At 49.3% G+C, this 17,346-nt stretch overlaps 1 protein-coding gene across 23 annotated transcripts in view, besides 1 other annotated feature; it reads left to right on the top strand.

Moving 5' to 3' along the window:
* Positions 1 to 17,346, top strand: part of PRKAG2 (protein kinase AMP-activated non-catalytic subunit gamma 2) — a 320,989-nt gene that overhangs the window by 124,678 nt on the left and 178,965 nt on the right. For 6 of the 23 annotated variants that reach the window (NM_001407037.1, NM_001407038.1, NM_001304527.2 and 3 more), the window contains exon 1: positions 16,175 to 16,538. The exons of the other annotated variants lie outside the window; for them this stretch is intronic. In NM_001407037.1, coding sequence (NP_001393966.1) covers positions 16,445 to 16,538 — 94 coding nt within the window. In that variant the 5' untranslated portion in view covers positions 16,175 to 16,444. Of the gene's footprint in view, positions 1 to 16,174; positions 16,539 to 17,346 lie in introns of those variants that run through there. 23 annotated transcript variants of the gene reach the window in all.
* Positions 16,396 to 17,053: an enhancer, noted in NCBI's record as "NANOG-H3K4me1 hESC enhancer chr7:151432471-151433128 (GRCh37/hg19 assembly coordinates)". NCBI's record gives its function as "activates a minimal SCP1, AML or CMV promoter by ChIP-STARR-seq in primed H9 embryonic stem cells {active_cell/tissue: H9 hESC(primed)}" and the evidence as "EXISTENCE:reporter gene assay evidence [ECO:0000049][PMID:30033119]".

Below are 17,346 nucleotides of genomic sequence, written 5' to 3'. Positions count from 1 at the left end.
TTTCCGTTCCTCTCCCTCCTCCCACCCTCTGCCTCTTAAGTAGCCCCCAGTGTTTGTCGTTTCTTTCTTTGTGTTCGTAAGTTCTTATTATTTAGCCCCCACTCATAAGTGAGAACATGCAGCACTTGGTTTTCTGTTCCTGTGTTAGTTTGCTAAGGATGATCGCCTCCAGCTCCATCCATGTTCCCTCAAAAGACGTGATCTCTTTCTTTTTTATGGCTGTGTAATATTCCGCAGCACATATGTACTACATTTTCTTTATCTGGTCTGTCATTGATGGGCATTTAGGTTGATTCCATGTCTTCATTATCAAGTTTTTGATGCTCAAATTGTCCTAGACGTGGCCAGCAGGAGCCTCTCCAGGCGGATCACTGTGTCCTTTGACTTTCCCCATCATATCCCCACCCTGTCCCCATCATGCTGTGGGCACTTCCTGGCTTTCTGGCTGATCTTGTACATTCCTCACCCCAGCCCTGGAATTAGCCATTGCTCTAAAGAGCCCTTGTCACTTTTAGTGGCAAATAGTGTTTACGTGTGCATGTCACTCCTGGGGTGTCATTGCTTCTAGGCCTTCTCAGCAGATGTATTAGAGACAACCTAAACACCCACATAGAAGAGAGTAGTTGGCCAGGTGAGGTGGCTTACACATGTAATCCCAGCACTTTGGGAGTCTGAGGCAGGAGGATTGCTTGAGCTCAGGAGTTCAAGACCGTAGCGAGACCCTGTCTCTACCAAACAAACAAACAAACAAACAAACAAACAAAAATAGCTGGGCATGGAGACATGTGCCTGTCGTCCCAGGTACTTGGGAGTCTGAGGCAGGATGATCACTTGAGCCCAGGAGTTCACGGCTGCAGTGCGCTGTGATTGCACTGCACTCCAGTCTGGGCGACAAAGCGAGAACCTGTCTCAAAAAAATAAATAAATAAATAAATAATAAATAGAGTAGTTCAATGAAATAAAGAAGTTACAGCTACATAGCAGAGTACCATGTAGCTGTAAAAAAAATATGGCATCTTTGGGCCGGGCGTGGTGGCTTACTAAACCTGTAATCCCAGCACTTTGGGAGGCTGAGGCAGGCAGATCACGAGGTCAGGAGATCGAGACCATCCTGGCTAACACGGTGAAACCCCGTCTCTACTAAAAATAAGTAAATAAATAAATAAATAAAAATTAGCCTGGCATGGTGGCGGGCACCTGTAGTCCCAGCTACTTGGGAGGCTGAGGCAGGAGAATAGCATGAACCTGGGAGGCAGAGCTTGCAGTGAGCTGAGATCACACCACTACACTCCAGCCTGGGCGACAGAGTGAGACTCCGTCTCAAAAAAAAAAAAAAAAAGGAATCTTTGAATCAGTATGGCAAAAGACATGCCTAGGCAATCCTCAAAAGACATGAAAATAGCCATTAGACAATAGCATGAGCATACTTAGTCATCATTAGAAATCCAGATTGTAGAATTAATCCATATTTTCCTTTAGTATTTGTAGGTTTAACTTTTTTTGTGGTAAAATGCATATAATATGTAATTTAGCACCTTAACAAATTTTTTTTTTTTTTGGAGACAGGGTCTTGCTCTGTCCCAGGCTGGAGTGTAGTGGTGCCATCTTGGCTCACTGCAACCTCTGCCTCCTGGGCCCAAGTGATCCTCCCACCTTAGCCTCCTTAGTAGCTGGGACGACAGGAACATACCACTGTGCCTGGCCACCTTAACAGTGTTAAAGTATATAACTCAGTAGTCACAGTGTTGTGCGACCATCACCCCAATCTAGTTCCAGAACTGTTTCATCACCCCAAATGGAAACCTCACATCCCTTAGCCCTCAATCTCCATTACCCCTTCCCACAGCTCTTAGCAGATGCTAAGCTGCCGTCTGCCTTTCTGGACTTGCCTATTCTGCATATCTCACAGAAACAGAACCCCATGACCTGCGGGCTTCTGCATGTGGCTTCTATCACTTAGCAGATTGTTTTGAAAGTCGATCTACTTTGTGGCATATATTGGAATTTCATTCCTTTTTATGCCTGAATAATATTCCATTGTAGAATAGACTCCATTCTGCTTACTCAGTCATCCACTGGTGGCCATTTGGGTTGTTTCCACCTTTTGTGAATAGAGCTGCCATCAACGTTCATGTACAAGTTGTTGGAACACCCGTTTGCAGTTCTCTTGGGTATATACCTAGGACTGCAGGTTCTGGGTCATATGGTCATTTTGTGTTTAACTTGTTGAGGAATGTTTTCCACAGTGCAGTGTTTTACATTCCCATCAGCAATGTATGAAGGTTCCAGTTTCTCCATATCCTTGCCAACGGTTCAGTTCTTTTTTTTTTTTTTTTTTTTTGAGATGGAGTCTTGCTGTGTCACCCAAGCTGGAATGCAGTGGCACCATCTCGGCTCACTACAACCTCTGCTTCCCAGGTTCAAGCAATTCTCCTGCCTCAGCCTCCCGAGTAGCTGGGGCTATGAGCATGTGCCACCATGCCCAGCTAATTTTTATATGTTTAGTGGAGATGGGATTTCACCATGTTGGCCAGGCTGGTCTCAAACTCCTGACCTCACGTGATCTGCCCACCTCGGCCTCCCAAAGTGCTGAGATGACAGGCATGAGCCACCATGCCCGACCCAGTTCTTTTCCTTTTTTTTTTTTTTTTCAGTGTGGTTGTCCTAGAGGATGTGAAGTGGTCTACCATTGCTGTTTTGATTTGCAGTTCCCTAGTAAAGTTTAGCATCTTTTCTTGTACCTTTTGGCCACCTGTGTGTCTTCTTTGGGGAAATATTTAATCAAGGCAGCTGCTCATTTTTTTGATTGGATTGTCTTTTTGTTGTAGAGTTGTAGTTCTTTATGTATTCTGGATACTAGACACTTATCAGATATATGACTTGCAAATATTTTCTCCTTTCCTGTGAGCTGCCTTTTCACTCTCTTATTATTGTCCTCTGATGCACAAAAATGTTTCATAACAGCAGAGTTTTGATGACCAACGTCACCTTCATATGCTGCTTCTCTGTACCTGGCCCATGTAGACACTGAACGCTTACTGAAATGGAGGAAGCAGAGAGAGTGAGGGAGGTGGATACCGGGGACTACAGTTCACTGATTCAAAGAAATGGGGCATCAGGATAGGCTGATGGACGGGGGACTGTCTCATTGCCCCTCCAGGTGTCTGCTTGCTACAATGTGAAAGGCTGACTCAGGGTCTAACTATCCCTTTAAAGCTTCTAGTGAGGAGAGAGAAAAGATGGCAAATTCTCCGTAGCCTCCTTTTCTGAGTTTGATCTTTGGATGGATGGTTAATCCAGTTCTCTTGCTTAACCGCATCTCTTCTGCTTTGCAGTGAGCACAGTTTCTTTTGAGCATCTCCTCTCTGGAGACATCTGGCCCGTGGGCCTCTATGAGGAAAACCGTCAGCCTCTTCCTCACCCTCGGAGGCTCCAAAACACCCAGGCCAGCCCCATGTTGCCTAAAGCCCAGAAAACTGTGTTTTAAAATTTTGGCGAATGATTAGCAAATACTCTCACTGTCGTCACTGGGGGCAGGTTGGGTGAAAGTGCCCAGCTCATCTCTCTGGCTGCGGGCGCGGCGGGGCGAAGGCCAGGTGGCACGGCACGGATGTTCTTTCCTCCTTGCCGCTGCTGATGACGGAGTTTTGCAACCTTTTTTATTTTTATTTTAGCTTTTGCCAAAGGGAGTTTTTGAGAATGTACCTTGCTGATTTTTGTCTGCTATAGATACTTATCACCATTTACCAGATTTTTTTTGTTCAATTTTCTCCCCTTTACATTTTAATTTTCAGTGAAGTAGTTCAATCGCATGGTTAAAAAAACCAAACATTCCAAAACAATTTATATTGAAAAGCAGTAGTTCCCACCCTCCTCAACCAAACCCCAAAAGAAGCCTTTAAAAATCATATGCCTCGTCAACTATTTTATGATTTATCAGTGTTAAACCTTGTATGTTGACGTCCTATTAAAATGGAGGGGCAGATAATTCAATGTCCCACCCCACACCTTCCCAGTTTTCCCTCTGCTCTCTTTTAAAAAAATCAATCTTTTGAAAATTACCCCCTAAAATGCCTTTCTGACTTTTTTCTGATAACCTCTATGAAATTTTAATAAAACAGATATACTATCTATTGTTTACATTGTTACATATACTATCTATTGTTTACTTATACTGTAAGTATAGCTGTTCCTTGTATATAAGAAGTAAGATTTTTGGCTGGTTACAGTGACTCACGCCTGTAATCCCAGCACTTAGGGAGGCCGAGGTGGGCGGATCACTTGAGTCCAAGAGTTTGAGACCAGTCTGGGCAACATGGTGAAACCCCATCTCTACAAAAACTACAAAAATTAGCCAGGCGTGGTGGCACGTGCCTGTAGTACCAGCTACTAGGGAGGCTGATGTGGGAGGATTGCTGAGTCTGGGAGGTGGCAGTTACAGTGAGCTGAGATTGTGCCACAGCACTCAACCCCGGGCAATAGAGTGAGACCTTGTCCCAAAAAAAAAAAAAAAAAAAAAGTAAGTTTTTTTGCCCCCTCCAAGAGGTGATTTTCACCCCCTTAGCCCCACTGAGAGTGATGCTATAAACAGAAAAGAATTTGAGGTGAGTGATGTCCGTGAATGTAGTAACATCTGACATTTGGGATAAAGCCAATCTGAAAGAGTGAACAATCAAGTGGTAGAATGACTTTTGTTTTTTGTTTTGTTTTGTTTTGTTTTTGTATCTTGCCAGTCTCAAGGAATGAACAAGCCACGTGAGCTAACTTTCTAGATATCTGGAACTTAAGCCATCGAGTACCAGAGCATACATCTTTTTTAAGTGTCAGATGCATTACATACTTTACAGTTTTTTTGTTTGTTTGGTTGGTTGGTTTTTTTTTGAGACGGAGTCTCTCTCTATCACCCAGGCTGGAGTGCAGTGGCGCAATCTCGGCTCACTACAAACCCCGCCTTCCAGGTTCAAGCGATTCTCCTGCCTCAGCCTCCTGAGTAACTGGGATTACAGGCGCCCGCCACCACGCCCGGCTAATTTTTGTATTTTTAGTAGAGACGGAGTTTCACCATGTTGGCCAGGCTGGTCTCGAACTCCTGACCTCAGGTGATCCACCCACCTCGGCCTCCCAAAGTGCTGAGATTACTGGCGAGAGCCAACAGTTTTCTTATTCAAAAGATACCAAGTACTGTAATTTCACTCTTTATAGATGAGTCAGGTTCTTGCTAGATCACCCTATATGCGTCAACACATCCAGCAGCAGCCACTGAGTTATGAGAACAAACTTCTGTTTGAGGCAGGATGTCTGTGCCCTCTGCCCGAGTTCTGCTCACCCTCTCTGTCTCCTTCCTTGTGCCACTACCTGCTCTGTGGCAGCCCATGTTCCTGCCTTGAATGGTACCTACCCTCTCCCCCGCCCCATCACAATTTGCTGCGAATAAAGTTTTCTTAGTATGTGTGGTTAAAAAGAGTAAATTGTTACTGAGAAAATCCCTTCATTCCTCATTCAGGACGTGAAATGCTGGGGCTTTGAGCACTGGGCTGATGAGCAGGGCTTTGTCCAATTCCTTCTGATTTCTCTGCTGAGATCCAGAGCAGGTTCTGCCAAGGTGTGGAGCTCCTATTGCAAGTCCAAGCGCTGCCTGGCCAGGCCAGAATCGTGGAGCCCAGCGCTCTCTCCCCAGGCTCCGGCCACAGCCTCTGAATTCTCAGCATGGTGCCCAGCAGCCGTCCCAGGAGCAGCCACTGGAGCAGGCGGCCTTCAGTCCTCACCCAGGCTTTCCGCAGCTGTTCACGCGAGGTCCTTTCGGGCACCTTGTGCCTGAGCTAGTGGAGCTCCTGAGAGGCTGCTTTCAGGGACAGAGAATGGCCATGTCCTCTGTTTGTGAAATGCTCTGCAGCTTACAGGATATTTTTGCTATTCTGTCTTATTTAATCACCTTGAAACCCTGTAAAATGGTCTCTCTTATGGGAGAAATGTGGAAGAATAAACTAAATGGCTCAGAATTGCATGCCAATGGGTGAACCTGTGTTGCTTTAAGGTTCTCTGACCTAAGTGTTTTAAACCTTTCTACCTGTTACCTTGTTTTGAAATATATTTCACTATAAGAAGAAAGAGATCTGAGGCAAACTTCAGCTCAGCCCTCATAATCTAAGCTAGGGGCTTCTTAAGGAGTGACGTGCAGGAGGAGGTGGATTGCTCTGTGACCAGCCCAGGTCCAGACACTGGAAATCCTGCCCCATCGCCTAGAAGTGAGAGACCACAGGCCAAACTGGCTTTCCGCTGAGTCCGGGAGTTAACCGGGTCCTTCTCCAAGGCTTCGGTGCATTCCCAGCTCACTTCAGCACTTGTAAGAGAATTAAATCACTTAAAGAGAATTAAACAGAAAACCCAAATGGCTGGCCTGCAGAGTTTCAGAATCTGGTTTTCAGAAGCCATTGCTTGGTGGCCCCCGTTGAGCCCAGCGCTCAGCTTCTGCGCCACGGAGCAGCTGGAATCAGGGCAGGTTCTTGCCGCTGGAGCCCTCAGAGCTCTTGGCCTGGTGTGCTCTTGGACACTGAGCGACTGCAGGGTTGCCAGGCACCACGAGAAGGGACTGAAAAGGGCCCCACCGAGCCCTCCATGGGGGAATGCGATGCCCCTTCCAGATTTTAAGGAGATCCAGGGATTTCTTACTCTTTGGGTGCTGCATTTCGGCATGCTAAAAATAATTATTGCTATCGTTTTTCACCTTTTTAGTACTTCTCTGTGTTTTTAAAATCAAGATGCCCCTGTTGCCTCTGCCAGTTCTCAGTGGCCTTAGATATCGCTGGTGTGAGTGGAGCTGTGTGAGCTGAGGTGGTTTGTCTCTGCCAAAAAAATCACCCTCTTGTCACTCAGAGACTCAGGCTCCAGTTCCTGTGGTCACCACGAGGCTGTGCATGACCATGAGTGTGTCGGGCTGACGTGGAACAGAGGCGTGGGGGCTTGAGTCAGGGCAGAGGGTGCTCCGCAGAGGTGCCAGCTCATAAACACCTCCTGGGGCAGGGCGTGGAGGCCCCAGTGAGGCGACGTGGCGATCTCAGAGTCAAGTGCAGCAGTGACCTTTAGAACTTTCCATGAAACATGACACAGTATTTTGCAACCGGCAGGAGAGCTCTGGCAAATATGTGCTAAGGCGTGTTGCTGCTCCCCGGCGCGGAGGGGACCCGTGCCCTCTTGCATAATGAGATGTGGTTTGGAACGCAGCCGTGCAGGGGACTGGGTGCTTTGCAGGTATGGCCTCGTGATCCGCAAAGGTTCAGGATGAGCGGGAAGTTTTTGAGTAGTGCATCCTCACCTGCTTCTGCAGCCGTCCACCCATGGAGCAGAGGCAGCCTGGCTCTTGATGGCCCCCTGATGAGGAACCAGCAGAGCCAGTGTCGACCCCCACAATCCCACAAGCTGCCCACGGATCCTGGGCAAATCACTGAGCACCTCTGAACTTCTGGGTTTTTGAAAAATGTTATTTCTTGAACTGAATAGTCATGGCTGGCCTCCCTACCACACAGCATGGTTGAGAAGAATGTAGGAAACTGCTGCGGGCAAAGTCTCCCAGCTCTGTACAGCCGCAGGGTGTGGGTGACTAGGGTTCCCCCTGCCCTGCTCTGCTGGTGGATCTCTCGGTCGGCCGGGCTGATTCTGCCTGCGCGGTGCTCCCAGGCCTCAGCAGCCCTGCCCTGGGAAGTGCCAGTCTCATGAATGAATGGAGGCGCATGGAGGGAGGGTGGTTACACGGAGTCTCAGTGACTTTTCTCTCATATGGGTCCCCAGTGACAGCTTCAAGGAGACTATTTGCAGCTTCACATAACATGCAAAGTGGCTTTGATGAGACGGAAAGCTTGGGGTCTTTTCAAAAATTTGGTTTTGATATAATTGGAAGTCCAGAGATAGGGTGGGCTTCAAGGGGCTTGATCCTGTAGGTATTCACAGGCTACCTGGAGTAGGAGGCAGCTCGGCCTGATGACGCCCTCGGCTCTCAGATGCCCACTGCAGTGGTGGGGTGGGGGACAAGTGGAGGCTAGGCACCAACCATGGTGTCTACAACGGAGACCCAGAGTCCCATTCACCAGGCGATAAGGCTGGGGTGGGGCTCCAACCTGCAGCCTGGACCAGCACCACGTTAGTGGGACAACATGTGCCACATGTCCTGGCACTTCCCCGATGCCGTGGGAACGTGGCCCCGGGGCACCGGCTGAGAACCTCCAGCAATTAAAGGGTTTACTCGCATGTTTTGGGTCACCGGAGTCTGGGGGTGGGGGTTACATATCAGAGCCACAGGAGCGCCATTGTGTCTCTTGTGGAAGGGTGGTCGCCTTCACGCCACTTATCCTCATGTGCAGGAAGCAGGGGTGACCGTGCTCCATCTTCGAGCCCATCTGCAGTTCCCCTGACCTCTCCTTCCTCATCTCTCTCGCCCCCAGCTCTGCTGTGTAGTGCACAGTCTGGCTGTGGAATGTTTTGCAGCATCCAGATGTGGGGGGGCTGGCACACCTGGTAAAATCCAAGTATTAGAGTGAACGGGACCTAGTGCCATGGCCTCCCGCAGCCCAGCCCTGGCTGGCCAAGCCTGGAGCCCTGCCGAGGGCAGAGGAGCAGTCAGCACAGCCTCCCTGGCTCCAGAACAGCCACAAAAGCGTCCTCCAGGAACAGGACATGCTGCTCCCAGGGATGCCGAGCATGGAGCAGCAGCTGGCTTGCTGTTCCCTGACCCATCATGCTGCTCCTGAGTCTCGTGGAGGAACTCAGTAATCGCTCCTTTTCTTTCTTCTGCGGGTGAGATACCTGTCATCGGGGAGCTTTCAGTCTAGCTGGGGAGAAAATTAAACCAAAAGCCAGAAAACAATGAAGCATGCTAACAGTATGAAATGCCTTGTGGTAGTATTCTTCCACACTGTTTTCTTTTTCGAGTTGTCAAAGGTAGGTTTGTAGTCAGAAATCTAAAAGAACAGCCACCAGAAGACACACGTAAAGAACACACGTTGAATGAGCTGAGCTCTGATTTCACTCCCTCCCAGATCTTATAAACCTAGTGTCAGAATGGTGACCTGGAAGCCTTGGCCACACAGCACGGGGCACTGCTAAGAGATAAAGGCATCTGCCACCCGAATTACCTGGTCCCGTGCCAGGCTTTGGGTTGCAGCACCAGCCAGGGGTGTGAGTTTTAAACTGTGATCCAAAAAGGCCCTGGCCCTTTAAAAATACATTAGAAAATACGGTTCCTATTTGGGAGCCATTCTTTCCTTCCTTTTTCAGCCCCTCCCTTTAAAAAAGAATTCTGAGTGTGAAAAGCATTCTGTTAGAAGGAACTCTGAGCAGGGTCACAGTTGTGGCAGGGAGTTTCCCCTCTATTCATGTGGGATCATCGACTGGCGGAAACAGAAGAGGGGAAGGTTTGGTGTCCCCATCCGCCTGTGAGTGGTCAACTTTCCCCCGCCCACGTATGCTGAAGAAGGGTCCTCAGCCCCTGCCCTGCAATGGGAAGGCGCCATCTCTCCCAACGCATCAGCGTTCATCTCTAATCGTGGGATCCAAAGCTTTGTCCCTCATGTAAGGAATTTCAGGCATGTGTGAGTCAAACAGAAAGACCCCAGCAGTGAGGAGTTTTTTGTGCCCCACCTCTGTGCTCAGCCACCTAGAAGTGGCCTCGGGGAGGAAGCAGCCGGCTTTGTGCTTCCAGAGTACGGTGTACCCACAAGGCAGGTCAGCTTGTTGTAGCCTCCTGACTCGTCTGGTCTGTGTTGCGAGGTGGCTTTAATGCAAATAAGGACTTTTTATTTTATTTTATTTTTTTTTTTTTTGTGAGATGTAATCTTACTCTGTTGCACAGGCTGGAGTGCAGTGGCACAATCTCGGTTCACTGCAACCTCCGCCTCCCGGGTTCAAGTGATTCTCCTGCCTCAGCCTCTCGAGTAGCGGGGACTACAGGTGCGCACCATCACGCCCAGCTAATTTTTGTATTTTTGGTAGAGACGGGGTTTCACCATGTTGGCCAGGATGGTCTCAATCTCTTGACCTTGATCCACCCGCCTCAGCCTCCCAAAGTGCTGGGATTACAGGCGTGAGCCACAGTCAGGATTTTTAAACATGCTTCTTCTTTTGCCTTTAAATTTCCCAGCCTAAAATGAAAAATCAGGATGTAGAGAGAAATTCTTTTCCAAATCCCTTCAGTCCACAGCGGTCCTCTGGAGTCCTATGGGATTCAGGCTAGGGTATTGAATGGCTGCTGAATTTTCCTGTGCACATGGATGAGAAAGTATGGTATGGTGGAAGGATGTGAATTTGGGAATCGGGTCCACATGAGGGGACAAGTCCATCTTCTCTCAACTTACCAGCTGTGCCATCCAGGTCAAACTACTTCTCTGACCCTCAGTTATTCAATTTCAATGAAATGTTAATTATACCTGCCCTGCTCATGTGTGGGAAGGATGAAATAAAATAATAACTGTAAGGTGACCAGCACCCCAGCTGGCATATGGTAGGCATTCAGTAAATGTTATTATGTTACAAATAAAATATGGTTCTTAGAGGACAGGAATTTCTCCGAATTATTTGTAGCACCTCATCCCTTCAATCAACAACTGCCCTGCACGCTTACTAGAGGTTTAATAACTACCTGTTGAATGAATGACCATTTAAACTCAAGCACGGAAACGTCAGGCCTGCCTAAGTTGCTGGTTATTTTCCACACAAATTTCAATACATTTACCTCAGTCACTAAACTTTGAAATGTTCTTTTTTTTTTTTTTTTTGAGACAGAGTTTTGCTTTTGTTGCCCAGGCTGGAGTGCAATGGCATGATCTCGGCTCATCGCAACCTCTGCCTCCTGGTTCAAGCGATTCTCCTGCCTCAGCCTCCCTAATAGCTGGGGTTACAGGCATGCACCACCATGCCCAGCTAATTTTATTTTTAGTAGAGATGGGTTTTCACCATGTTGGTCAGGCTGGTCTTGAACTCCCGACCTCAGGTGATCCACCTGCCTCGGCCTCCCAAAATGCTGGGATTATAGGTGTGAGCCACTGCGCCCGGCCTTGAAATGTTCTTTCTGTCCGTTGTATTATGTAGTGTAAGAATAGTACACTGGCTGAAACAAAACCTTTTCATTTTCCTTTTAATCAAATCTGCCTCTTTCTTATTGGGATACTTGTTCAGGTCTTTTCCTAAAGATGTTTTGCTTTGTTACTTTTATTTTATTTTGTTTTATTTTATTTTTTGAGACAGGGTCTCACTCAGTTGCCCAGGCTGATGTGCAGTGGCAGGATCATGGCTCACTAGAGCCTGGACCTCCCGGGCTCAAGCAATCCTCCCGCCTCAGCCTCCCAAAGTGCTGGGATTACAGGTGTGAGCCACCGCACCAGGTGTTATTTTATTTTTAAATCGAGAAAACAATTTTTGTTAGAAGCTGATTTTTAAAAAGAAAAAAAGACATCTAAACATGAAACTCCTAAACTTACCTACTTCCAGAATTTAATCACAGTTAAGTTTGGGCTACCATATTTAACAGCAGAAATAATCCATCAGTATATCAGGGGACCTAGCTGGCGGTAGATTTCGCGGCTTGTTTGGGAAGGCTGGGGTCCCCTCCGGCATTGATTTGGCCTGGCCTGGGTTCCCCCCTCTTCTTCACACCCTCCAACCCTGAAGGCCCATCTCAAGTTCCCCTTCTCCGGGCAGGGCCACACGGGCCTTCTCCTCTCCTTCCTTTGTGCTGACGACACTTGCAGCCACGGCTCACATACTCACGGCTTTTTCATGCAGTTAGCATTGTTTATCTTTGTCTCCAGCTCATTTGCAAAGTCACTGAGAGCAAGACCTATTTTGTGTGTTCATTCATGCATCCTTGCTACAAATATCTGATCCCCGTATCTATCAGTCAGTCCCAGCAGGAGAAAGGAGGCACACTGAACTTTTTGGATCACTGGAGGAGAATTGAATAAAGACACTACTTTCAAAGGTGTGGGCAGGCTGCCAGGAACCCCCTAGGACTGGTGCAGTAACTCGGGTTCGTATCAGCAGGGCTGCTGCCACTGCTGTGCCTGAAGGATGAAGGAGAGGGTCCCTGACCCAAGACAGAGGTCTGAGGGAGGGTTTCTCTGAGAGGAGCTGAATTCTTCCCTTGGGAGATGACACAGCAAGGCCAGAGCAACCCTGCAGGGATGTAGGGAGCTATGAAAGCCTCAACTCCTCCCTCCTTCGGGCGTCTGCTGTGCCCACTGTTGGCTGCAGCTAACCAGCAGCCCGGGAGGAGGAGCCTGGCCAGGTAGTCCCTCCAGTCGGCTCCATCAGGGAGCAGGGGCAGCTGGAGGGACCGCAGGCGTTCAGGGTGACTGTCCGGTGCCTCCCAAAGCAGGTGCCTTGCTGTAGGCTTGGGAGATCCTCACAACGGGTGAGGCCTGGGCCCCTATCTTTTTGGGGTTCCCAGTCTTCTCTGTGGTAAGGGCGACATTCACATATAGAATAGAAGAGCTAAAATCTTTCAAAGGAGAGAAAAGTCCCCTCTTTGGGGAGTGATGAGGGAGGGCTCACTTGGGGGAAGGCACGGTCTCTGGATTGGGCCGTAAGGGTTTCATGGGGTTTCAGCAGGCAGAGCTGAAAACCACGGGCTTAGGAGGCAGGGCAAATGGTGTAAGCGAAAGCAGGTAGGTTAGAAAATTCCAGCCGGGTGTGGTGGCTCACACCTGTAATCCCAGCATGTTGGGAGGCCAAGGCGGGTGGATCACTTGAAGCCAGGAGTTCGAGACCAGCCTGGGCAACATGGCGAAACCCCCGTCTCTACGAAAAATACAAAAATTGCCTGGGTGTGGTGGTGTGCACCTGTAGTCCCAGCCACTTGTGAGGCTGAGGTGGGAGGATCATTTGAGCCCAGGAGGCGGAGGCTGCAGTGAGCTGAGATTGTGCCATTGCACTCCAGCCTGGGCAACAAGAGCAAAACTCTGTCTCAATAAATAAAAATAGATAAATAAATAAATAAATAAATAAATAAATAAAGGCTGGGTCATGCCTTATAGGACTCCCTGACCTTACAACATTCAGCACAGCACCAAGTAGACAGTTGTTACTCAGTCAATTTGGTAGAAATTGCATGAGAAAAGTTGAGACCATAGTTTCTTGATCGGCTAAGCAATGGTATGACTATGAGGTCATTCTAGACAGAGATGGGTCAGGTCCCCTAGGCAGGAAGAGCACACTTACACATCTTTAATAGGTCAGGTCCAATCACGTGAGCAGTTGCTCTACCAGTCGATGGGATCTGAAATGCTAGAACCAGCTCCAGCTACACCGGAGCCATGCCGGGGCCGAGCAGGCTTCTTGGGAGCTGGTGTGTGTCCCCTGCAGATGGAGGCTACCGAGACCAGCTCAGCTGGGGAGACCCGAACCCGGTTGGCTTCTGTGGATGGAGGCCCCATGGGAGTGGCAGATCTGGGGTGGGAGCTGAGCTTCCAGGGTTTCATCTCACGGGGATAGAATGGAAGACTTCCCTTGGCCCTCCTTCCTGTTGCCCTAGCCTGGAGCCATCTTTATCTCATCAGGCATCTGCAGTGACTGGGCCAACAACTCCAGTGGTACTAGAGGAATTAAAGACACACACACAGAAATATAGAGGTGTGAAGTGGGAAATCAGGGGTCTCACAGCCTTCAGAGCTGAGAGCCCCAACAGAGATTTACCCACATATTTATTAACAGCAAACCAATAATTAGCATTGTTTCTATAGTTATTAAATTAACTAAAAGCATCCCTTAAGGGAAACAAAGGGATGGGCCGAATTAAAGGAATAGGTTGGGCTAGTTAACTGCAGCAGGAGCATGTCCTTAAAGCACAGATCGCTCATGCTATTGTTTGTGGCTTAAGAATGCCTTTAAGCGGTTTTCCGCCCTGGGCAGGCCAGGTGTTCCTTGCCCTCATTTCCGTAAACCCACAACCTTCCAGCTTGTGCGTTAGGGCCATTATGAACATGTCACAGTGCTGCAGAGATTTTGTTTATGGCCAGTTTTGGGGCCAGTTTATGGCCAGATTTTGGGGGGCTTGCTCCCAACAGAGGCCCCATGGCAGTGGCAGATCTGGGCATCTCTGGCTTCTGTGGATGGAGGCCCCGTGTGAGTGGCAGATCTGGGCATCTCTGGCTTCTGTGGATGGAGGCCCCGTGGGAATGGCAGATCTGGGCATCTCTGGCTTCTGTGGATGGAGGCCCCGTGGGAGTGGCAGATCTGGGCATCTCTGGCTTCTGTGGATGGAGGCCCCGTGGGAGTGGCAGATCTGGGCATCTCTGGCTTCTGTGGATGGAGGCCCCGTGGGAGTGGCAGATCTGGGCATCTCTGGCTTCTGTGGATGGAGGCCCCGTGGGAGTGGCAGATCTGGGCATCTCTGGCTTCTGTGGATGGAGGCCCCGTGGGAGTGGCACATCTGGGCATCTCTGGCTTCTGTGGATGGAGGCCCCGTGGGAGTGGCAGATCTGGGCATCTCTGGCTTCTGTGGATGGAGGCCCCGTGGGAGTGGCAGATCTGGGCATCTCTGGCTTCTGTGGATGGAGGCCCCATGGGAATGGCAGATCTGGGGTGGGAGCTGAGCTTCCAGGGTTTCATCTCATGGGGATAGAATGGAAGACTTCCCTTGCCCTCCTTCCTGTTGCCCGAGTGTGGAGCCATCTTTATCTCATCAGGCATCTGCAGTGACTGGGCCAACAACTCCAGTGGCACTGAGCTCTGTAAATGAAAGAGGTGAGAGAAAAGGCATGAAAAGCAGCCCAACCCAAGTTGGGAGGCTGGACCTGTGGTTCCTGAGGAGGCCTGGGCTCCAGTGGCAAGCTGCTGGGGCGCTTCCACCCCACACTCCATCCCCTTGTTTTCGGACGAGCCGTAGATAATAACAATTCCGCTGAAGAAACTGATGGCGTTGCAGTTTTGGGAGGTTATCCCACCCTAGTGGGCGGCCAGAAGAACCCAGGCTACTAATCTTTAGCTCGGGGGTTATTTAACTGGTCTGACATAGTCTCCTCCTCATGTGCATAGTCATTTGGGAAGAATCAGTTACCATGAGAGGTTCAGACTGTTGGAACTAGGCTAAATCTCTCTTTTTTTTTTTTTAATAGAGATGGGGGTCTCACTGTGTTGCCCTGGCTGGTCTTGAACTCCTAGGCTCAAGCCATCCTCCCACCTCAGCCTCCCAAAGTGCTGAGATTACAGGCGTGAGCCACCGTGCCTGGCCCTAGACTAAATCCTAAAATGACCTGGTCTTGTCTTAGTTCACTAAGGGGGAAACTGAGGTTCAGAAATGGGAAGTAACTTTCTGATGGTCACAAAGCTGGTTAGTAGCAAAGCAGGTAACTTTAGTGAGGCTATCAGACAAAAAGTCAAGGATTTTTTTTCTATCTTTTGCTTCCAAAGTTTGTTTTATTGGTTGCAAAACATATACAAATTATAAATGTTTTAGGTTTTACTTGATCAGCGGTTTGGCTTAGGAGTCAAGGAGATTAGAACTCCAGTCCTGGTTCTACCATTGGCGACAGGATCTTGGGGAAGTCACCTCCCTGTCCTGAGCCTGTTTCCCCATCTGTCATAGAAGGGAGTTGGACTAGATCTCTCTAAAATCTCTTCCAGCTCTGTCATGCTGCAATTCTCAGCAAGTCCAGAGCTCAAATTACGCATTTGCCGAAGACCTTCCGTTAAATTCCAGTCGGGGAGCTGTATCCCCTCCTTGAAGACGGCATTGCTGCTTTCATTGAGTGGAACCGTGAGCCAGGGTAGATTCAGCAATTTCCAGCCCAGGGACTTGTGTGGCTTCTCCACCCGGCAGCAGCCGGAGCCTTCTGACCCCGTGGGGCCCTGGAACCCATGAATCAAAATAGTTGTGTGATGTCATGTCACAATGGGAATGTGCTCTGGCCAATTGGTGCCAAGAATTGTCTGCCCAGGGTGGTTTCCTTTTACAGTCTGTTTAAAGAGACATCATGCACGGCTGCACATGACTTGCAGGCTTGTGCCTCCTTTGCCTATCTGGTCTTCCCTCCTTTTTTTAATTTTAAGGAGAAAAAAAAAAAAAAAAAAAGCCCTGGAGAGTATCAGTGAGCAGCTGACCTTAACTACATCAACAAATCCCCTGCGAAGTTCTGTTTGCGCTTCCGGCAGCTTCTTGCTACTTAAGGACAGCCGGGCTGACGCTCCAGCTGCTGTGGCCGGAGGTGCAGCCCCGTCAGGACGGCTCCACTCCCTGGCGCCTCACAGACTCTGGGGCTGCGGTGAGGTCGCCCTGAAGACCCCCTGGTGAGGACGCTTGAACCCGGGCTGTCACCTGAGCACAGGCTGCCACTCTGAGCTTTTGGGGCGCCCTGTGCCTGTCGGGCTGATGCTCCTCTGGCTCCCGGCCACCTGGGGCTGACACCGGTTCTGTGGGTCCTGATATGTTCACCTGTCGCCACTCCTGTGGCCACAGCTACCCATGAAGCGCTTTGGGAGCCTCAGGAGCAACAAGAAACACAAGGACCAAAATCGAAGCACGGAGAGGCGCCAGTCGGAGCCTCATGGCCTTTTCGGTAGGACTCTGCCCATTCCCGAGCCCCTGGTGGTCTGTCCTTGGGAGGGAACCCCACGGCGTGTGTGCACACCCTCCTAAGCAGTAGCTGTTTCCAGCCACTCTCTTCCAACTGGGATATAACATCAGGCGGTGGTTAGAGGAATACGTGGGAAGTGTTTCCTTGCTGATGGCAGTGCTGCTGTGGGGAGCCGCCTGACAATACTCTTTCTGAAGCTGTTTCCTTTCTTGCCCCACCTGGCCCAGGGAGGCTAGTGATGGATTGGATTGTCATTCATTTATGCAAAAACTGTGGCTCAGGGGAAAAGTAAGAGTGGATGGGCACTGTTGTTTTCAGCTGTTAAAAATGAAACATGCAGTTTAGAGGAAACTATTGGAGGTCAGGAAGAGAGAGGTCTTCTTCCCAGGTTCCGTAGCGGAGTAATCTGACAGATCGTGGGCTAATGTGGGAGGGGAAACACCTGCCTAATTTGTGCCCCATGAGGAGAAGCTTGCATTGTGGTCTCCCTGGTCTCTGGCAACTTCTGCAGCTCCTCCATGTACAGGAGGATGGGGTCAGGGCAAGTGGAACAGGTGGTGAAGCATCTGTGGTTCAGTATTTTCAAGGACCTGCAGACTTGGAGTGGGTTTTGCCCTTGTCTGTCTGCAGCCACACAGGTCGATTCCAAAGCTTTCTTAGCTCCACACCTGGTTAAGACCTGCCCACTCAAAATTAGATGTCAGATTTCATTTATTAAGAATCAGAGGCCGGGCGCGGTGGCTCATGCCTGTAATCCCAGCACTTTGGGAGACCAAAACAGGCGGATCAC

Source organism: Homo sapiens, chromosome 7 (assembly GCF_000001405.40).
Source record: "Homo sapiens chromosome 7, GRCh38.p14 Primary Assembly".
Taxonomy (NCBI): Eukaryota; Metazoa; Chordata; class Mammalia; order Primates; family Hominidae; genus Homo; species Homo sapiens.
The sequence above is the reverse complement of the archived record's forward strand: the minus strand, read 5'-3'. Positions and strand labels throughout refer to the sequence as shown.